Genomic DNA, 21,459 nt, shown 5'->3' on the forward strand with positions numbered 1-21,459 from the left:
CCATGCAGAGGCACCCACCTCTACAGGCAGGCTGTGAGTGAGAACGTCTTGAGGTTGTGACTTGTGACTTATTCCACAGTCTCCCTCCCATTGAGCTCAGTGGCTGGCACACAGACATGTGGCTGTCACTGATTCTGAAGGTACCTCTGAGCACCTGCATGACGCCAGTTCCATGCCAAGTGCTGAGCATGCAGAAGAGCCTCGGACATGCCCTGCTCCCAGGCAGAGCCTGGGAACCTGGCAGATGCACCTGTCAGCTTGAGCCTGGAACAGTGCACCCTTGGGGAGCAGAGAGAAGGGATCCTGAGCCAAGAGAAGGGGCTTCAGGGAGGGTGCCACCTGCTGGGCTGACAGGGATGAGAAGGAGTTTGCCACCACAGTATAGGGTGCAGGAAGGCATTGGAGGCCAAGGATTGGTGTAGGCAAAAAGGCAGAAGCAGGTTCGTGGGATCTACATGAGCAGGGCAGTCACGTCTGCTGAAGCTAGACAACCAAACTGCGGAAGACTCCCTCCAGGCCTGGCACAGCGGCCTCCCAGGGGGGTGTTTGTGAAACCCAGATGTGAGGACATCTGGATGTCACCTGTTTGGGTCCTGGTTTGTACTGTACTGTAAGCCCAGTTTTCATGCACTATTGAGCATGATCAGTAATTATCTCTGGTTTGCTCAGCCAACAGACAAATCATTTCCTCCCTGAAATAACCAGTTCCAGCAGTGGCCTTTCACACGTCCAGCATCAATCCAGTGTGAAGATTGGGAGGGCCTCCCGGGCAATGCTAGGTTAGCCCTCAAAGTGTGGTTCTAACCCTCTAACAGCAGTTCTCCTTTCATGACTGCCTGCCATGTCTCTGGCACAGTTTTGGGGACTTTCATCCTCACGACAACCCTATGAAACAGACACTATTATGATCCCCATTCCACAGATGAGGAAACTGAGGCTCGGAGAGGTTACAGTGTGATGTGGCTGGGATTCTAACCCAGGTTTGTCTGATTCTAACACACTCTCTTTTCTTTGCACAATGTCAAATTATAGACTAAAGAATAAAAATGAAATCTTGGTAAATGTGGTTCCTGGTGACTTAGCTGTGGTTTTGCAGCTGCTTCACCATAAAGTCTGATTCATCTTTAATGAGTGAGTTTTGGAGTAGATTACCTCAAAATACACCTGCAGCTGCATAGAGGCCCCAGGTCAGCAGGCCTGACATAAGGGCCTGAGGTCACATCGAATGGATTCCATGACTCTTGGTGGGCGGACTTGGGGACATGGGGGTGGGCCCTGGCCATGCCAGCCCAAGCCAGCGGCACCAAGCCCAATGCACACCTGACTATTGGGGCATCTGAGAAGGGTGGTTCTGTTAGCGCTAGGAGGAATTCCATGGAAGGAGAACGAGGAGATATTCCAAGATTTTAGTTAGGGCTCATCAATTTCAAAACTTGCCTTGAATCCTGACCCTGCGGCCGAGCTGGTCACACCAGCAACCAACCATCCAACTGAAGCCAGAAACTCTCCACTTGCAGGACATCTCCTGATCCCTCTCTTTTTCACATATCCTGTTAGCAGTATGAGCTCTTTGCGTTTTACCCGTGGTATTCGTATTTTCATATTCGTTTTCATACATGTTTCTAGCATGCAAGCCTGTGCCTAGCCCCGAGGAGGCACTGGGGAAGCCACAGTGCAACTGTGACGTGTGGGCGGCCTGCTGTGCGTGTGCTCCAGCAAGTCCAGTCGCGGGTGCGAGGTCCATTCTCCAGCGTGGAACTGGCCGGCGGGTGCACGCACCAGCGTGGAGCTTTCACTCTGCATTCACTGACTAATGCTTGAGAGTTCAGACTGTAATTCACAGATGACCAGGGGAATGTCGGTGTAGCAAATAATAAGTGCAGGTTGTTCTGGAAAGTCTTTCCAGGAGAGACAAGGACTGTCCATGTTGGTTTTGGGGTCTTGGTGGGGTTCCCTCTGTGTCCTCCTTCTTAGACGGCTGCCCATTGTCTCTGCAGGCCCCCTGCCCTCAGCGGCAGCCCTGTCATCTCTGACATCTCCTTGATCCGGCTTTCCCCGCACCCGGCTGGCCCTGGGGAGTCCCCCTTCAACGCCCCCCACCCGTACGTGAACCCCCACATGGAGCACTACCTCCGTTCTGTGCACAGCAGCCCCACGCTCTCCATGATCTCTGCAGCCAGGGGCCTCAGCCCCGCTGATGGTGAGTAGGGTGTGGGGATGGGGAGGGGCAGCTAGGGCACTGGGGCAGGGCGCAGCCAGCCTCTCTCACGCTAACACTGTCAACTCCTCAGCCTTGGTCCCCTTGAATGGTGACCAGGCTGGCTGGCGTTCCTTCACACTACTTCCAAACAACAAGTTTTTGGGTTTTATGCTCATTAAAGAGCCTTTGGTAAGCACTCTTTTGCATGCAAACCATATATGATCTATTGTAATAATAACAGTAAGGGTCTATCCAGGTAGGTCCTGTGTAGCTGAGAACCACTGGTTGTAACCAACCAAAGCCTGCAGAAGCTGGTGTTAGGAAAGGGGATGTTGTGTTGGAGTGTCTCATGCAGAAGGAAGGCGGAGTGGGCTGGCTGCTGCCTGCGTCTCTGTTGGATCTGCCCCTTGCAGGTTAACGCAGGAGGCCTCCAAGTGGCAGCCCAGGCCCTGGGGCTCCGGGGATGAAGCTGTGGCATTGTGTTCAGATGCCTGAGAGAGAACATTGATTGGCCCGGCTCAGAGATCAGATGGCCACCCCGGTGTGACTAATTTCAGCCAGAAAAGGGCAGGGTCACATGGTACAAATATGTCTTTATATGTATAAAGCAGATCTAAAGTTTTACACTTCTAGTCCCCACCCACCCCACCAACAGACACATGCAAACACATATTAGTAACCCGGACATTTAGGGGCCAGTCCCACCATGCCGTCTCCCTGGGAAGTGCACCCCCATCCATAGCATGGCATGGCCCCGTGCCGCCCCTGAGAGCGCTGTTAGCCACTCATTGTCCCCATCCTTGAAAGCAGCCAAGTGCAACTTCTCAGAATTCACGAAGCTAAGACTTGACCTCTCAGGCTAGAGGACATCTGCAACTTGAACTTCAGAGCCCCATGGGCAGAGGCTCTAGGAAATGGGGTCCCAGCGAGTCTCTTATCACTACCAGCATTCTCCCCGAGAGGAATGCATCCTCTTCCAACTGGTGGGTGTGACCACGAGTTGAAGCGGAGGCCTGGCTCTGAGAATGTGCAGGCTGGGATTGCACGATGAAAAGGAGGCATCCAGTTTTCAAATGTGCAGAAGGGCTCCCTGAATCGTTGACTCATCTTCCTGGCACGGAGGTTTGCACTTTGCCTGGTCCTCACAAAAGAGAAACCAAACAAGGCAAATAGTTGTAGCCAGGGGGCTTGAAAATGGCTAGCTGGAATGTGACACCATTCTGAAATGGCCCCTCAAGTCAGAACTCAGCCCTGAACTCTGCGTGCGTCCCCTGTGTGGCCTTGACCAAGCTGGGGTGCCCTGAGGCCTGTGCTGCCTCTATGCCCAGCTGCTGTCTTGTTGGACAGTGGGCCCAGCCCTATCCACATCACTCCTGAGGTCCCAGTGCTGGGATTATAGGTGTGAGCCACCATGCCCAGCCCATGATGGGCTGACCAAGAGTGAGAGGACACAGGTCAGGTTCCAGAGTCTGCCTGGCTCACACTAACACTGTCAACTCCCCAGCCTTGGTTCCCTCGGACAGTGACCAGGCTGGCGTTCCTTCCTACTACTCCTGAACAACGGGTTGATGGTCACACCTAGTATGGCAGCTGAGGGGTGCCCCCCAAAACACAGGTCCATATCCTAATCCCCAAACCTGTGGGTATTCCCTCATTTGGAAAAGCAGTCTTTGCAGATGTCATTAAGTTAGGTCTCTTAAGCTGAAGAGATCATCCCAGATTATCCACACAGGCCCTAAATCCAATAACAGGTGTCCTTACAAGAGACACACTGAGAAGGCAGACACATTCATGCCCGCCCAGAGACACACACAGAGTCACAGAGGAGAAGGCTATGTGAAGTCAGAGGCACAGATGGGAGTAATATGGCCACAAGCAGGAAGCTGGCAGCCAACAGAAACTGGAAGAGGCGGGAAACCATCTTCCCCTTGAGCCTCTGGAGGGAGTGCGGCCCTGCCAGCACCTTAATTTCAGATTTCTGGCCTCCAGAACTGTGAGAGAATAAAGTTCTGTTGTTTTAACAACAGTTAACACAAAGTTTATGCTGATCTGTTACAGCATTTGCCCTGGGAAACTAATACACATGGTAACAGGGCTTCCAGTGAAGAGGTGGAAGGAACCTGGCTGCTCTCCCAGGGCCAGGGCCAGAGGGCCAGTAAAGACGTCTACGGGAGGAAGGAACAGAGCACCCTCCTGGAGATGCTCAGGAAGCAGAGACGCTGTATTCCACTGATTGCAGTGTAGCCCATGAAGAGCTGGGTGGGCTGGGCACAGTGGCTCATGCCTGTAATTGGATTTTCGGAGGCCAGGTGGGAGGATCGCTTGAGCCCAGGACTTCAAGCCTGCAGTGAGCTAGGATCGCACCACTGCACTTCAGCCTGGGCAACAGAGTGAGATCCTGTCTCTAAAAAAAAATTTTAAAAAGGAGCTGGGGGTGGTGAGACAGAGCTGCCCCTGGAGGAGAGGCCTTCGACGGATGGAGTGCCATGCTATGCATGAGTTCAAGATAAACACTGAGGTAGCTCCTGGAACACCCACGTACCCGCTTACAGCCCCACGACATAGCAGGGACCTGGCTAATTTGCATGGCCCTGACTCCCACAGGAAGTAGACCAGATACGCCAAGGCCTCATCAGCCCTTGGGCTACTAAGTGACCAAGGATGGCAGATTAGGCTCAAGAGCAGCTGGCAGGAGGTCTGAATTCGAGTCCTGTGTGCCCTGCTCGGTATCAGCCCCAGAGCCTGCCATGTGAGGTTAGGAAGCTCATCAGCGATCCGAGGCAGTGTTGGCCAGACCATGTGTGACTGGGGACAAATGGGATCTCCACGGAAGGTTTTGAGGGAAGGTGGGTAGGCAGGAAGGAGTAGGGGAGGGAACTTGAGGCATGGACAGGGGAGGCAGAGGCTGTGGGCGATCAGCCTGGCTGGAGGCCCGGACTCTTGGGAGATGCAGCAGGAGATGGCAAGAAGGAGGCAGAGGAGGACGGCAGCTTCCATGGCCTGGTCTCCTCTCTCTGCCAAGTGCATAAGAGAGCTCTTTTGGAATTTGTCGAGACTGCTAACAGAGAGGCCGTAGTGCACAGTGGCTAGGAGCTTGCTTCCTAGATTCAGACTGCCCTCTTTGCACACCTGTGGACTCTTGATGGGGGTGCTAGGTTTCCAAGCTCCCATTTGTTTCCTGACACCACCCTGCTGAGGGCCAGCCTCCCTCAGATGCTCTGAATTTCATCCTCGCTGCATCTTTCCTAAGACCTGGGCAGGGCTGACCTCAGGGTTGAAGCAGACAGCCCCGAGGCTCTGCGCTGCAGGGATAAGGATGTGTGCAGGCCAGGAGCTTTATCTGGCCAGGCCTGGCGCCCCGGCAGCGATCTCACCCTGAATGTTCAGGCACAGACTGACCTGGCCCAGCCGCGTGCCGCTGAAGTGCCTCTGTTTGCACCTTCTTTTAACTTTGAAGACTCTGCTGGACTATGGATCCTGTTGGCATGGGGCTCCGGGATTCTGAGGGGCATGGAGGCAGAGTAGGGAGAGATTGTTTATGAGTCTAATGAAGTGGTGGAGTACAGAGGTCGGGGTCTGGCCTCCTTCAGCAGCAACACCGCAGCTCGTGCTGGCCAAGCCCAGGCCCAGCACAGTGCAAACAGTGGGGCAGTGGGGGAAAATGCCGAGGAGAGAAACCCCGACACCAGGTGTGCATTTCTCTCTGCCTTTTTTTTTTTTTTTTTTTTTTTTTTTTGGCAGGAGAAGGCACAGCCAGTGCCAGGTTCTGACGGCTTCTTTCTCTCCCCTCTGCCCACAGTGGCCCAGGAGCACCTTAAGGAGAGGGGACTGTTTGGCCTTCCTGCTCCAGGCACCACCCCCTCAGACTATTACCACCAGATGACCCTCGTGGCAGGCCACCCCGCGCCCTACGGGGACCTGCTGATGCAGAGCGGGGGCGCTGCCAGCGCACCCCATCTCCACGACTACCTCAACCCCGTGGACGGTGAGTGCTGGCCCCCAGGGGCTGAGGATGGGGCTAGCAGATCTCCTCTTGAGGCTGAGAAGGTCACTCGCTGTTTCTTTTGGGGACAAGGACCCTTAAGGAGAGGTCGGGCTGTACCCCAATGCCTTCCAGGATGGCTGTCCACAGGCACTGAATCTTTGGACAACACTTACTGAGTCACCACAGGCCAGGAGGCGTTGTAAGCATCGCAGACACCACAGCAAACAAAGCTGGAACTTACAGTGCAATGGGGAGAAACAGATGCCAAGTAGCTCTAGGAATTACGTATGAAAGTAGCCAATTATAAATGGACCAGGGAAACAAAGCAGGGGCGGGGGGAGCGAGCACTGGGTGAGTGGGGTGCAGTTTGGAATGGGGAAGTCAGAGGAAGCCTCACTGGGAAGTTGAAATCTGGGGGGCGAGTGCTCCAGGCAGAGGAAACTGCAGTGCAAAGGGCCTGAGGCAGCAGTGGGCCTGCCAAGCTCAAGAAATAGCCAGGAGCCAGTGCTGGCAGTGAGGGGTGGGAGTGGGGGTGAGGCCAGAGTTTCCAGGTGGGGTCTTGCCAGCCAGTGCACCTCAGAAGAGACTGGCTTTCACTGGAGATGAGGCTGGGCAGAGGAGAAAAGAGAGCTGACTGACTCACAGAAGGAATCTCCTTCCGTGCTGATGTGAGAATTGATTTGGGGGCAAGACGGAGGCAGGAGGTCCAGTTGGTAGAGGTGGGGAGAAGGGGCCAGGTCTTGGGAAGACCTTGAAGGTAGAACCACAGGATGTGCTCCCAGCTGGAATATAGAGTTGAAAGAAAGAAGGGAGTTGAAGTTGACCTCAGGGTCTCGGGCCTGAGCATTTGAAGGATGGAGTAGTAACTGAGCTGGGAGGCTATAGGTGGGGCCCTCATGGAAGGGAGGGAAGTCAGGTATCCTGGGTAGATGAAGCTTTTGGTGCCTGTTAGACACGAAGTCCTTCCCACCCTCCAAATGCCATCCTCACAGCTGCTTTCACAGGGACACCTGTGACCCTCTGACCATGAGCCTGCGGTCAGCAAGGAGCCCGTCTCAAGGAATAGTGGAGGGAGTGGAAGGCTCAGCACCCCCTCCCATCCCCCAGTCAGCGCCACTCCGCCTGCAGGTCCTGGAGCCCTGGCCAGCGGCACACAGGGAGGCAGGGCAGCCAGTAAAGCTGGAAGCCACCACAGGGAACAGGCAGGCACCTCCTGCAGAGCCAGCCTCCCGGAGCCCTGCCTGGGGTGGCGTTTTCACTCCCTGATAGCCCACGGCAGGGAGACAGGAGCCTGCAGGGAGACCGTCCTGCAGGGGCAGCCCTGGTGCCTGCAGGGCCGTGCAGCCTGTAGCAGGTTGGGGTGGGCTGGTGGGAAATCATGTGGGACCAGGCGGGGCCATGAGACTCAGGGTGGGCTGCTGCCTTGCTCACCCCGACCCGCCCCCAGGGCTCTGTTCCAGGGGAGCCCTTCACTTCTCTAAGGCCTGGCTGACATCTCGCCTCCTCCAGGAAGTCTCTCTGGAAGCCTCCTCCTTCCCTTTCCCCTGCCCCCCTCAGTCACTGGGACAGCTCCCTCCTCTGGCTGCTCCTTCACTCTTTGCCTGGCCCACCTCATACTTACAGCAACCACCTCACATTGCTCCTCAGCTATCTTGAACATCTCCTGCTTCCCAGGAAAAGTTTTGCTGAGAAGAGGGCGGCCAACCTCCGAGGCTGGCCCCTCATGGATATGGTCCTCGCCAGGCCCTGGTGGGAGGCCATAACATGCCTCAGTGATGCCACCAGAATTTGGTCCCTGTGTCTGTCCCGTTCTTCCTTGCCTTTCCCAGCATGGTGTTTAGTCCAGAATTAAGCACACCATCCAGATGTTCAACAACACCTGTCAGCTCTGTAGGACATTGACGTCCCTCTGAGTACACACACATCCATGTGCTCTGTTCCCCTCTCCTCTCAGCAGCCCTACACGGTGCTCCCACAAGCCACAGTGAGGTGTCAGAGATACTGAGAGAAAGTTGTGTGCTAGACACGCTCCTTGCCAATATTAGAAACCAAACAGCAGCAACCGAGTGCATGAAGGATCATGTGCAAATTGCCACACCCGAATGTCAGCTTCCTGCAAGCAGGACCCTTCTTCCAAGGGCCTGAGGGTGGCACCAGGCCAATAGGAAAGTGGACGAGGCAGAGAAACCACGGCCAAGAGAGGTGAGATGAGGCAGGTGTCCCCACAGGGCAGGAAAGGCTAAGCCAGGCAGCCGGGAGTCATCCAGTGATTTTCAGCATGAGCGTCTGTGTGTGCACGTGTGTGTACGTGCACACGTGAGAGACAGTGAATTGGAATGCAGACTGCCTCTGTTCTGTGCTTTTAAACACATTCTTCCATGTAATTCCCTTAGCCACCTTCTGAGGCTAGAAATATGCTCCTTACTTTAAGATGAGCAAATGGGCTCCCAGCATCTAGCGGCTTGACCCAGGCCTTGCTCTGTTTGTTACCAGCACCATCTGCCCTTCCCTGGGCTGCAGTTTTCAGCAGCACATGCACCTGACCAACCATGAGCCCTGGCCCAAGGGAGGGCCAGCCGGGCCAGGTGGACTTGAGCTCAGCCCAGAGCAGCTGGGCCGGAGCCAGAGGGGAGAAGTAGTACAGCGAGCTCCAGGGCAGGCCTGGGTCAGGCCTGGCTGCACGGTGTCCTCCCTGTGGTAGCTGGGCTCAGAGGTGGTGACAGGACTGAAGGGGTGTGGAGTGGCAATCCCAAGCCCTGCGAGCTGTGTGGATTAAACACATTGACTGAGATGGCACATGTGAGCCTGGCCCAGTGCCTGGCATCTAGCAGGTGCTGGAATAATGCTGGTGCAGGTCTCTTTCCACCAGTATATCTTTCCCTCTTTAAATCCACTCACTCTTGCAGGATTCTGTATCTTCATTGTAGGCAGCTCTGTCCACCTGCTGCCTAAGCCCAGGCCCCAGGTTCTCCCAGACCTTTTCCTTGCCATCTCCCATCCATCCCATCCTGTCCCTCAGGCCTCCAAGAGTGGCGTGTCACCCCTCCCGGGCCAGACAGTGACATATCGCCCTCGTAGCACTGCTCCATGGCTGCTGCTCATCCAGCATCCCCATCTTTATCCTCTCCGCCATCCTGCGCTCAGCCCCTGCCACTTCTAGCCCCCTCAGGATAAAATCCAGACTTTAGAACCCCCGTCCAGAGGCCTTCCTCTCCAGCTCATCTCTCTCCACTGCACACTGGTCTTGCCATGCACTGCCCCACATGCAGGTCCCCAGATACCTCCCTGAGCTCATTCCTGCACAGAGTCCTGTGCACGGTGCGCTAGGCCTTCTCCTGAGACCCCACAAGAATCCAGCCCCAGGCCTTTCAAGCCACCAACTAGCTCCACTGCACTAGCGGGACCCAAGGCGCCCCCAACTGGAACTGGCTGGGACTTCTCCTTACGTATGGCCGATGGCCCGCCCTGTCAGGTCTGGGAGCACATCTGGCAAGGAGCAGGTCCTCTGTGTTTGTTGGGTGAGTGAGTGAATGAGTGAATGGCACTTAGAAAAGACCCTGGAATGGAAAGATGCGCTCCAGCTAAGGAAAGAAGCACTCGAGGAATGTAGCTGTTGGCTCACAGGGGACTGGAAGGGGCTGGGGAGCAACTTTGCCTTCCGGGCACTCAGCATTTGGCAGCCCCGGGGGCTGAGCATCTCTGGGAAGCAGCAGAGGAGTGCAGAGGTGAGCTCAGCAGTGGGCGCGAGAGCTCCCAGCCCTCCAGCAGCTGCTGGTTAACTCATCACACCCCACCCGCTGTGCCTTCTCCACCTCCGCCTTGGGAACACATCTGGCTTCAGGACATGGAGGTAACGGGGAAGCATCACCAGATTCCAGAGTCCACCTGAGGAGGGATATCAGTTTCTCCAGCTCCAGTATGGGGTGGGGGTGGGAGCATTTTTCTTATCCATGGATTTCAGGAGCAGATGCCTTCTTTCCCTTTGTTCCCAGTCAGTTACAATCCAAGAAAATCAGAGTAGTCCAGGATTATCTCCTATTTTTATTGCTACTTAATACATTTTTTCCAAAACCAGTTTCAACTAGAACCAGAACCTTCGCTTCACCTTTTAAAAATGCTTTCCGCACTTCCACTTAGCTCCGAGGCCTGTGTGGACGGTTACTCACGTATGTCTCTAAGAGACGCTGAACACAACACCTGGGCTCTCAGCCAGGCGGCTCGGGCTGGACCTGTCTGTGGGGTGTCCCCCGGCCCCTCCCCTCCCGTGAACCATGGGAGCTGGGGAGGTGTTTTCGGTGGGTGCCTGCTCCATGGGTCTGTGCCAGTCCCTCCCGGAAAGCTCCAGACCACACAGCAGAGAATGTGAATGAGCGTTTCCACTAGGTTTCTTTTTGCTCAAATCCTCACTGAGAAAATTGTGTGGGCCATCCCTGGCGCCAGCAGTGCAGCTCAGGAGACCTGTGGAAGGGGCCTGGCTCTCTCTGAGGAATGTGTGTTCACACCAGGAAGCCCCCATACACATCATCTTGAGCATGTGAGCTCTGTGCAGGCGCAGGGGGCCTGGAGAGCTCATGGACAGCCAAGGAGAACAGGCCTTCTCTCTCTGCCTTTCTCTGTCGTTGTGTCTCATGCACACACGCTGGTTGATTCGGCAGGTGTTTATTGGGCACCTTCTATTTACCAGGCTCGGTTCTAGGTCTAGGGACGCAACGCATCATGAGCAGCACACAAGCCCTGCCTTCCTGGTGCCTGAGCTCCAGCGCAGCCCTGTGTGAGTTCCTGGGCGGGACCAAGAATGCCTGTCCCGACCTGACGCCCCTCATACCCCAGCCTCCTTTCTCAGCACCTTCATTCATGGTCCCAGAGGAGGGAGCACTGTAGGGGAGAGAACTTTCCAGAGGTTTTGAATGTCCAGCCAAGGCATGGAGAGGGCTCTGCCAGGCAAGAGGGCGAGCAGGGAGAGGTGGGTGGGAACTCCATGTGGGTCCTCATCCTGCAGGGCCTTGTCCCCAGTACACCGGTTTGCAAACCACCAGCCCAGTTTTTACCTTAGCTGAGTGCCACCTGCACAATTGTGTATTTAGTAATATTTTTTAACAGACTCACCTTTTGGGGTTAAATAAATGGTTCTTCAAATGGAACTTTGTATTTTTTCTGAAATGGAAAACCTAATCCCTGTCTGAAGAGGATGTTCCTGTCTCTGTCTCCATCAAACCTAAAGTAACCTCATCTGGGCCATGTGTGGCCCTACATTTGGGAACACACTGCAGTGGTGGAAGAAAGGCCAGAAGCTAGAGAGGCCTCTACGGGGCTCTTGTGGGATTGGAAAGCCAAGCCCTGCGTTCCTCCCAGGGCACTGAGGCCAGGGTGCCGGCAGGACAGAGGGATTTCCCAGGCTCTGATGAAAACCCACCCTCCCTGGTCTCCCAGTGGTGGGTGAAGGCCCATTTCCTCTTGTTTTTAAAGGGGTCCTGATTTACAGCAGGAAGACAGGAGCGCTGCTGTGTGGGAAGGTGATAGAGAACCAGTCAGGGAACCGAGGTCATCATTCTGCTGAGCGGCTCCCTGGAGAGCGGAGAATTCACTGGTTGTCACCCGGGCCCTAAAATGGAATTTTCTCATGTTATGCTGTTGAATATTGGTGATTTAACGACAGAACAGCCACCCCCTCCCCCTCCACCACATTGAGAAGATTGAGATGTTTCCGACTGAAATGTTGTCTGTTTACTGCTCATACTGCCTCCAAGCCATGCATTTTATTGTCATATTGACACTAATTTGGCTCGGATGTCACCTCCATTCTGACGCCTGTTCTTTATGCTGCCTGTGGATCCGGGGGGTTTTCAGAAACCAATTACATTGATCAAACCCAGAGAGGCAGGAAGAGCTGGTAGAGGGGCTGCCAGAGGCCCAAGTCAGACAGGGATCCCTTTCCGAGACAGGAAGGGGAACCGAGGCAAAGGAAGCCACATTGCAGGTCCCTGCGTGAGATGGTGGAGCTGCTGTGTACAGGCACGGGCTAAGCGGTGTCTATGGGCCATCTGGTAAAGCCACACAGACTGTCCCGCCACACCAGCTTCACGAAGCCGCTTCACAGGAGCCTGCAGCACAGCCTGTTTCTCTGTGTTCATCACTTAGCTAGGCCGTGGTCCTGGCAACTCTGAGCCTCGCTGCTCCACGGCCCAGGCGCTTGCTACTCCCCCATCAGAGGGGTGAGAGGGCTGTGGATGGCTAGGTGTGGGGGGCATTAAGGTCCTCAGGTCAGATTTCCTTAGAGCATCTCCTCGGCAAGCCAGAAAATATCTGGGTGAGGGAGTTGGGCTATGCAGGGAACACATCTTAGCCAGTGAGGATTCAGGGTACCCGAGCCCCACCACCAGGCTGCATCCTGCTGGCCTTGTATTTTTTCCTGAAATGGAAAACCTAATCCCTGTCTGAGGAGGATGTTCCTGTCTCTGTCTCCATCAAACCTAAAATAACCCAGCCCCGGGCTGAGGATGGCATCTGGCACAGAGAAGGCTCCTGGGACCAGGTGCCAGGATGATGCTCTTTCCTCCTGCCCCTCAGCCCAGGCTCCTGGGCACACAGGCCGTGGGGGGATCCCCAGCCCCGATTCCATGCAAGTCCACCCACAGGTATAGATGATATGTTGGTTGTCAGCCCATAGCATCCCTGGGGTGGGTGCTGGTAGCCCATCTTCTGCATGAGACAACCAGTGATTGGCTCAAAGCTACCCAGTTCAGAGTGTGCAAGCAGGGTTGGAACCTGGGTCTGCCTGAGTCCAGGGCCTGTTCTTGCATCTCCTGCCCTTCCTACTGCCTCAGGGAAAACAATGATCTCCCTCCTGAGCACCTTGGGATTCTCTAGAATAATTCTGCTTAGATGGCACCTTGCAAATCCTGCCTGGTGCCTCGGAGTACTGTCTTCATCTCTCTCCTACATGGTGAGCTCCATGAGGACAGGGTCAGAGGCTTCCCTGCCCAGAGTCCCCATGATGTCCAATCAATGCCTGGTGTGCTCTCAGCACTACACGAGGGGCTGATGGATCAATGAATAAACATGTGAATGAGCAACAGAAAGCGCTAGTGGGTGAAGCAAGGTCCAGAGGCAGGTGGTGTTGGCGTCCGCCCAGGTGAGGGTGGGCAGGTGGCCAGTCACCCGTGGCCGACCGGCATTAAAACAGGCGCCTCCACAGATGAATACTCCATGTTCCCGGTCATAAATCACAGGAGAAACCATGGGAAATGAGTGCCAGGCTTTTCTTTCTATTTAGTAATTTATCAAGGGAAGAGGCGCATTAATAAACATATTTCCCATGAGAGGCGGGGATAACAGAGATGAATATCACTGTCAGATTTGGCCTGTTTCCTCTTGTTAGGGGCACATGAGAGGGTGGGAATCCAAATATTAGCGGCAGATTCTTTTTTAAAAAATGTGTTACGAAGATGTGTGTGTTTCTTACTTTATATCATGTTAGGTGGTTTTTCCCCTCACATTACCGTATTTGCCACTCAGTTTGTAAGTAATAGGAGCCTTTCAGAGAATTCACTCCTGCATCTTTCTTTGAGTTTCCTTTGAAGCGAGGATTGACAAGGAGTGGACTCAGTAAATAAAAACCCAGAAGCTGAGAGGGCGCCGAATGCAAGCCGATGAGTGAATGTCTAATGACAGCTGTGTTGCTGAGTGGCCCAATCATCTTTCCTAGACTTGCTGCCCTTCACTCCATTATTGACTGGAGGCTCACCCTGCCCCTTGGAACAGTCCTCCTGGCCCTTGAAGAAGCCACATTCATTAGCAATTTCATTTTGGAATGCCCGCTGGGTTTTAGGCACTATTCTTGGCATTCTATGTGTGTCTTCACAACAGCCCTGCAAAGCAAGCCACACTGCCCTGATTGTACAGATGGGGAAAGAGAGGCTCAGGAAAGCTAAGTAAATGTGCTCCAAGGAAGCCACAAAGTGACAGGCTTGACAGGGACAGTGGCAGAGGCTGTGTGCCTCTGCATCTTGTGTGTGTGTGTGTGTGCGCGCACGCGCATCCACCTGGGGTATGTGTCTCCACCTGGGGTGTGTGTCTCCACCTGGGGTGTGTGTGTATGTGTCCACCTGGGGTGTTTGTGTGTGTGTCCACCTGGGGTGTGTGTGTATGTGTCCACCTGGGTGTGTGTGTGTCCACCTGGGGTGTGTGTGTGTGTCTCCACCTGGGGCCCCCCTCCCATGCAGGGGGCCCTCCCTGTGCCTTCCTGCCGTCATACTCCCTGCCCCCTGAGACACCTCTCCTCCTCTGCACCCTGGGCATAGGCCCTGTGGCAGGTGGTTTTGGTGTCCCTGTACCTTGGGCAAGTTACTTAGTGTCCTGTTTTGTCTTCTGTAAAATGAGCATAACAGCCCCTTCTTTATGGGACAGTCGTGAAGATTAAATTACTTAACACTTTAAAGTTTGAAGGAGTCCTAGCGCATGCGATGATAGCATTGAGTAAGTGCTGTGTTTAGGTGACTGTGAATCTGTTCTTTCTCAACACATCCTGTCTGTGCCATGGGTCAGCCCTTGGCACCTCCCACTGGGCTCATGGCTGTGCCACCTGTATTCGAGTGTTGGGGATGGTCAGGTGGGAAAAAGGATTTGGGCTCCTAATGCATGGTGAGAAAGACAGGAGCAAGCAGATAACCACACAGTGGATGAAAGCTCACCCCCACCCTTGTTTGGAGAGAGAGGCCTGAGCATAGGGAAGATCTGCCCAACTCCAGGAGGTCAGGGAAGGCATCCCAAGGGAGGTGATGACTCGGCTGAGGTCTGAGCAGGCAGAGGAAGCTGCACGTGCAAGTCCCTGAGCAGGTGTTATGGAGGAGGGGCTGGAAGGAGACCTGGTGGCTGGAGTGAGGAGATTCCACAGGGCCACCGCCTAGGCCTTCTTTGTAACAGCAGTGGGGATTTTTGGAAAGTTTTGGGGAGAGGGCAGGGACATGATCTTATTTCCAAGTTGAAAATCTGTCTTTGCAGTGAGCACTGTGGATTGGACAGCTGTTAGCTGAGGGCCCCAGAATGATCCAAGCAAGTGGTGGGCTGTGCTAGGGGTGGAGTTTGAAAGGAGAGATTTTGAGAGGCGTTCACGAGCCCACACGTAAGTGGGCTCCATTGTGGTGGAGGGGAGGAGGGAAGGCCGACTCCCGGGTCTCCCGCTTTGCCACTGCGCAAGTAGCAGGCACGTGCTGTAGGAAGAGCTGGTCCAGGCACAGGGCAGGAGTGTGGGGCTGGCTGTGCCAAACTGGAGCTGCCTTGCAGACAGGAGGAGAGGACGAGGAGGCAGCTGGCTCTGAGAAGGCTCACTCTTCAGAGCCACTGAAAGTGGGAGGTCGAAAAGTGTTTGTGGGACGGGACGTCCGCCTGGCCCTGGGCCTCTGCTGACCTCTCTGAAGATGGACAGAGAAGACACAGAGTCATTAGAAAGTCCAGACATCAGGGCTTCTTTGGACCTGGGTTCAAATCCTGCCTCTGTAGCTCTGTGACCTTGAGCAAGTCACTGACCTCTCAAGCATAGTTGCTTTGCTGCTTATCTGGTTTGCTTGGAGGATGGTGGTAGCTGTTAAATGAGTCAGTGGATCTAAGCGTCACTAAATGGTGGTTGTCACTGGGTCATTATTTGCATAAGAATTCAGAAGCAGGCATTTATCCAGATACTGCATCAGAGGAGCACGCTCCAGCCAGGATGCAGATGCTGCAGCAGAGGGGCACACTCCAGCCAGGATGCAGATGCTGCAACAGAGGGGCACACTCCAGCCAGGATGCAGATGCTGCAGCAGAGGGGCACACTCCAGCCAGGATGCAGATGCTGCAACAGAGGGGCACACTCCAGCCGGGATGCAGATGCTGTAACAGAGGGGCATACACCAGCCAGGATGCAGATGCTGCAGCAAAGGGGCACACTCCAGCCGGGATGCAGATGCTGCAGCAGAGGGGCACACTCCAGCCAGGATGCAGGTGCTGCAGCAGAGGGGCACACTCCAGCCGGGATGCAGGTGGTGCAGCAGAGGGGCACACTCCAGCCGGGATGCAGATGCTGCGGCAGAGGGGCACACTCCAGCCGGGATGCAGATGCTGCGGCAGAGGGGCACACTCCAGCCGGGATGCAGATGCTGCGGCAGAGGGGCACGCTCCAGCCGGGATGCAGATGCTGCGGCAGAAGGGCACACTCCAGCCGGGATGCAGATGCTGCGGCAGAGGGGCACACTCCAGCCGGGATGCAGGTGCTGCGGCAGAGGGGCACACTCCACCCAGGATGCCCCTGTTTGCCGTCCAGGATCCCTATTTAGAGTGGGTGATCACATTTGCAGTGCAGCCTCACAGCTGGCTGGGAGGTAGCCTGCTCCATGGGCCTCCCTGCTTCTTTCTGTCCTCAGGCAGGTGACCTAGGATCCTTCCTGCTGTAAGAGAAAGAAGGAGTTGTCTGAGTGAGTTACCTGCTCTGCCCTGGCCCCTCTGTGGGGTCAGAGCAAGTGGGCATCCCCAGAAGCAACTATGGACCGTCTTCTGTGTACCCACTGTAGCTCTGCTTACTAAAATATCTGTAAGCCCCAGTCTTCATAGCCCAATAGAATAAACAGCGAAAGCAGAAAGTTTAGCTGACAAGGATGTCAAAAGAAAAGAATGTTCTGATTAACTCCACTTTTTTTTTCAACTGGGAGCTTTCCTAACATCACTTAACTCTTCTCGTTGAAAATAAAGTATACCAAGTACTGGGTCACATGACCATCTCAACTGTAGCCACTCTGGAGAGCCCAGGCCACCTCCCCATCCATCATCCCACTGGGTCACAGCAACCCCAGAGCTGGCAGGGACTTGTTTTATGCTGGTGTCATTGATGAAGACCCCAAGTCTGTGACAGGTAAAACAATTTGCCCCAAGTCATGCAGCTGACTTATGGCTCCAGCCCAGGGTACCCGGTGTGCAGCCCCCACTTCACCCCACTGCAGGCCACTGTTCCAGTCCAGGTCTCCATCCCTCTACCCAGAGTCCCTTCATCCCAGGCTGCTGGCTGTCTACTCCCCTCTGTGGCCTCAGACTCCCCTCATCCCATGAAAGAGGCTGTTAGGAGAGAAAACCCTGGAAGCCCCTTTCGGCCCAATGGTCCTGGATGTCCTCTGTCCTCTCTATGCCTTGGAGAGGTGCTTCTCCTGGTGGCCTGGCAGGAAAGAGCCTCCCCAGGGATCCCTAGGTCTCCTCAGGGTTGCAGCCAAGCTTGGGGCTGGGCCGGGCATGGTTGCCTCGAGGGGCCAACATGGATCCCAGGGCTTGCGGCTTGTTCAGTAGGTGGGTGCGGGCTCTGCCCTCACACAGCCTTCTTGGGGACTGGTAGGTGTGGAGTGGGGGGCTCAGAGGCTCGTAGGCCATCACCCCCTGCCCTCGGTGCTCCTGCAGCTGTGGAGACATAAGGAACTGCCACGTGCATGATTCAGAGTGGCCCTAAGGTCAGTGGTCAAAGCCATCAGGAAAGCTTTGGGAGCACCCGCCAAGAGGCTGTGTGTACTGTGAGCAGGAGGCCCATGGAGCCAGACCCTGCAGTCAGGGCAGCCTGCCTGGAGGAGGGGGCACCCAGGAGGGGTCTCAGCAGGTCTGAGCAGGCAGAAGGGAGGAACGCAGTTATCATAAGCCTGGGAACAGCCAAGCACAGACATGAGTGTGCTTGAGCAACCCCCAGCATCATTTATGGGCAACACCACCAGCCCATGGGGAACCCGGAGGCCTGGAAAGGATGGGTGGGCAGGGGCCAGCGGGACATGAGAAGAGGCTGCTCCATGCAGGTGTCCAGAAAGTCAAGGACAGGCCCAAGCATTTACTGTGCCCTACCATGGGCCAGGTGCTTCTCACGCTTCGCCTAATTTACACCTCATGCCAGCCCTGGTGGTCAGCACTATTAGAGCCCTTTAAAAAGAGGAGACTGGCTCTGAGGGATCTGGACAGGGCAGGAAGCTTGGCTTGTGGAGAGTCATCCAGCAGTGTTGTCAGACCATTTCTAGGCCACCGTTTGTTCAGGGCAGAGACCTAGAATCCTGATGGGGGCACCGTGATGGGGAGCAGTCTGGAACCACAGTGGAAGAGCCTTTGGTTCTAGGGTGCAGGGTACTCTTGTCTGGGGCAAGCCCTCTTCCCTTCCACAGTTATGTAGGTGTGCGACAGCAGCTGGTGAGGGCTGAGGGCATAGCCATGTGTCCACACATATGTGTGCATATGCATGTGTACACATGTCTGCGTGTGGGTGCACACAAGTGTTTGCATGCATGGGTGATGTGTGCACCTGCGTACATGTGTGCCTGCATGCATGTGGTGTGCACATTCAAAGCAACAGCTTCCCAGAGCCTCGGGCGACTTTAGAACTGAGGACCTCAGTACGCAGAAGCACCTGCCTGTGTCAGGATGCCTCTCGCTGCCATGTCCTCGTGTCCTCCCTGCCCTGTTACAGCAGGCTGCCCAGTAGGCTCTGGAGAGACAGCCAAAGGCCCAGACATTGCGAAGAGTCTGGGGGCCGCCATCCAGGCCTCTGCTTGGCAAATGCCCTATCAGGGGGCACTTTAGTGGTGATTCCAGGTACAACGTGACCTGTGACCTTGGAGCACTTACTTCCATTCCCTCTCTTCCCCATGGAATTCTCCATAGCAGTGGGAACAGGCAAGCTTCTGCCACACACAATAGCATGGAGAAATCTTACAAACTGACCATGTGGATGAAGGAGGCCAGATATGAAAGAGTATTTAAAAATTCCATTTACACAAAGCTCAAAAGTAGGCAACAAGAAGCTGTGTGTTAGAAGCCAGGATAGCAGCTGCCCTTGGGCTGGAAGATGGAGGGGGCCTGTGGACAATGGCCAAGCACTGTTTCTTGACCTGGGGCTGGCTTCCCAGGTGGGCTAACTTGGTGAGAGGCCACCGAACTGCTCACTTATGATTCGTGCACACTCCTGTCATGAGGTAAGCATTGCTGGATTCCAGCCCTGGTCTCTGCACCCAGTGGTAAATACACTATGCTCAGTGCTCATATTCACTCGCCCAAACACCTTACATGCACTTCTCCAGTCCTCACCACACCCTGCGCTGCTCAGTCCATTTTACAGATCAACAAACTGAGGCCGAGAGGTGACATCCTTCGCCCAAGAGCCCACAGCTGGAAAGTCGGCAAAGCTAGGATTCCCATTAGACCATCCTTGCAGGCTCTTCCTATCCCCCACCCACATGTCACCCCCTCCCCCATCCCCAGTGATGCTGACCTGTCTTGTGTTGACTATCCCACAGTGTCCCGTTTCTCCAGCCCGCGGGTGACGCCCCGCCTGAGCCGCAAGCGGGCGCTGTCCATCTCCCCACTCTCAGACGCCAGCCTGGACCTGCAGCGGATGATCCGCACCTCACCCAACTCGCTAGTGGCCTACATCAACAACTCCCGAAGCAGCTCGGCGGCCAGCGGTTCCTACGGGCATCTGTCAGCGGGTGCCCTCAGGTGAGCCCCGCCTGCAAGCAGAGAGCTGAGGACCAGAGCTGGGCTGAGGGCCCGGTGGGGAGGCGCTGGCTTTTCAGTGGGCGCTTTTGACCCGAGGAGAAAGACAGGACCTGTGGCATTTGTGAATCCACATACTTGCACCTTTTTTATGAATTCAAAACCAATAATGATCAAATTGAAATGAGCCCATATCTGAGTACATCTTCATGGACCAGGCCTGTCATGAATGACTCAAATGTGAAATCAAAGGTGTTTGAGGTCAAAGATGGTTTTCCTAGTATTTCACTGAATTTGGTGGAGCAGCCAAGTATTGGCCAACCTTGGAGACCACACAAAATGTGACATTGACATGGCCCATGCTCTCAGCAAGCCTCTGGGCTGGCAGCAGGCCTCCCTCTGTAGCCGCATGGTGGCACACCCAAGCCTCACTGACACCAGCCACCCTTCTCCCTTCTGTGCGGCTCTAGTCTGTCTGAGGACTCAGACCCCAGCCAGCTTGACTGAAACTCACATGCCTCTCCAGCACCTCCGGAAGAGGCCAGGAGGAGTTAGGAATGTCAGGAGAGTTTGTCCCAACGACCTGGAGATGGAAGGAATAACAAGTGTATTTGTTATCTTTTGCTGCCTAACAAATTGCTCCAACGCATAGCAGTTTAAAACCACAAGCAATTGTTCTCTCCCCCCATTTCTGAGGGTCAGGAATTTGAGACAGGCTGAGCTCCGGCTCTCTCAGGTGGCCACAGTCAAGCTGTCAGCCAGTGCTTCATCCCGCCGAAGGCTTGACTGGGCCAGAATGCCCCCTCACAGCGCTCTCAGCAGTGTCCTTTGTTCCTCATCTGTGAGCCTCTGCTTAGGGCTGCTTGAGTGTCCTCACAACATGGCAGACGGGTCCCAGCCCACCTTGCAGCCTATGATGTGAGAGGAAGCTGGAGGAAGCCACGATGTCTTTTACGGCCCAACCACAGGGGTCACCAATCTTTCCTTGGTATCCTGCTGTGTGAAGGTTGGCTCTTATGCAAGTGGTGTGACAGAGCCTAGAAGTGCAGTAAGAAGAGGAGAATAATGCAAGCTGGGGGGCTCAGGGCAAGATTCCTGGATGAGGGGGCATTGGAACAGGATTCGGAGGCCTCATGGGTTTCACGTAGTCAGGGAGCAGCGATACAGACATGCGTCTAGGTATCACAGCAGTGGAGAGGCCAGGGTGTGGGGATGAGCTGGAGCCTGGTCCCTGCTGGGAGCCAGCCTGCCAGGGGTGAAGTCTACATCCTGGGGCAGAACCTGGGAGCTGATCGCAGAAGGTGAGTGGCAGACAGTAGGAAGCCACAGCTGGTTCTTGAGTGAGGAAGCCACGGTGATGGTGGGGCTAGCAACATGCTCATCCCTATCCCCTGGGCAAGGTTCTCTCTGTCCAGGAAGTGTCAGCCTAAGAGAGCTCCCGATCCCCCACCCCCACTTCCTTGTCTGCTCTCTGTTGCAGCCCAGCCTTCACCTTCCCCCACCCCATCAACCCCGTGGCCTACCAGCAGATTCTGAGCCAGCAGAGGGGTCTGGGGTCAGCCTTTGGACACACACCACCCCTGATCCAGCCCTCACCCACCTTCCTGGCCCAGCAGCCCATGGCCCTCACCTCCATCAATGCCACGCCCACCCAGCTCAGCAGCAGCAGCAACTGTCTGAGTGACACCAACCAGGTAGGTGGGTGCAGGGGCCAGGATGGCCACTGGGTACTCATCTGGACACATGAGGGTTGTTCACTGCCAGCTCATGCTAAGAACTTGTGGAGGGCCTC

At 55.1% G+C, this 21,459-nt stretch overlaps 1 protein-coding gene across 8 annotated transcripts in view, besides 4 other annotated features; it reads left to right on the top strand.

The window, feature by feature from the left end:
- The window catches only part of GLI2 (GLI family zinc finger 2), a 256,786-nt gene that overhangs the window by 213,378 nt on the left and 21,949 nt on the right, over nucleotides 1-21,459 (top strand). For all 8 annotated transcript variants that reach the window (NM_001371271.1, NM_001374353.1, NM_001374354.1 and 5 more), the window contains 4 exons: nucleotides 1,998-2,200; nucleotides 6,000-6,185; nucleotides 19,469-19,670; nucleotides 21,148-21,361. In NM_001371271.1, coding sequence (NP_001358200.1) covers nucleotides 1,998-2,200; nucleotides 6,000-6,185; nucleotides 19,469-19,670; nucleotides 21,148-21,361 — 805 coding nt within the window. The remainder of the gene's footprint in view (nucleotides 1-1,997; nucleotides 2,201-5,999; nucleotides 6,186-19,468; nucleotides 19,671-21,147; nucleotides 21,362-21,459) is intronic.
- Nucleotides 10,660-11,159: an enhancer, noted in NCBI's record as "H3K4me1 hESC enhancer chr2:121717481-121717980 (GRCh37/hg19 assembly coordinates)". NCBI's record gives its function as "activates a minimal SCP1, AML or CMV promoter by ChIP-STARR-seq in primed H9 embryonic stem cells {active_cell/tissue: H9 hESC(primed)}" and the evidence as "EXISTENCE:reporter gene assay evidence [ECO:0000049][PMID:30033119]".
- Nucleotides 15,100-15,641: an enhancer, noted in NCBI's record as "H3K27ac-H3K4me1 hESC enhancer chr2:121721921-121722462 (GRCh37/hg19 assembly coordinates)". NCBI's record gives its function as "activates a minimal SCP1, AML or CMV promoter by ChIP-STARR-seq in primed H9 embryonic stem cells {active_cell/tissue: H9 hESC(primed)}" and the evidence as "EXISTENCE:reporter gene assay evidence [ECO:0000049][PMID:30033119]".
- Nucleotides 15,642-16,183: an enhancer, noted in NCBI's record as "H3K4me1 hESC enhancer chr2:121722463-121723004 (GRCh37/hg19 assembly coordinates)". NCBI's record gives its function as "activates a minimal SCP1, AML or CMV promoter by ChIP-STARR-seq in naive H9 embryonic stem cells {active_cell/tissue: H9 hESC(naive)}" and the evidence as "EXISTENCE:reporter gene assay evidence [ECO:0000049][PMID:30033119]".
- Nucleotides 16,184-16,724: an enhancer, noted in NCBI's record as "H3K4me1 hESC enhancer chr2:121723005-121723545 (GRCh37/hg19 assembly coordinates)". NCBI's record gives its function as "activates a minimal SCP1, AML or CMV promoter by ChIP-STARR-seq in naive H9 embryonic stem cells {active_cell/tissue: H9 hESC(naive)}" and the evidence as "EXISTENCE:reporter gene assay evidence [ECO:0000049][PMID:30033119]".

The sequence above is a fragment of the Homo sapiens genome, chromosome 2, assembly GCF_000001405.40.
Source record: "Homo sapiens chromosome 2, GRCh38.p14 Primary Assembly".
NCBI classification, from domain to species: domain Eukaryota; kingdom Metazoa; phylum Chordata; class Mammalia; order Primates; family Hominidae; genus Homo; species Homo sapiens.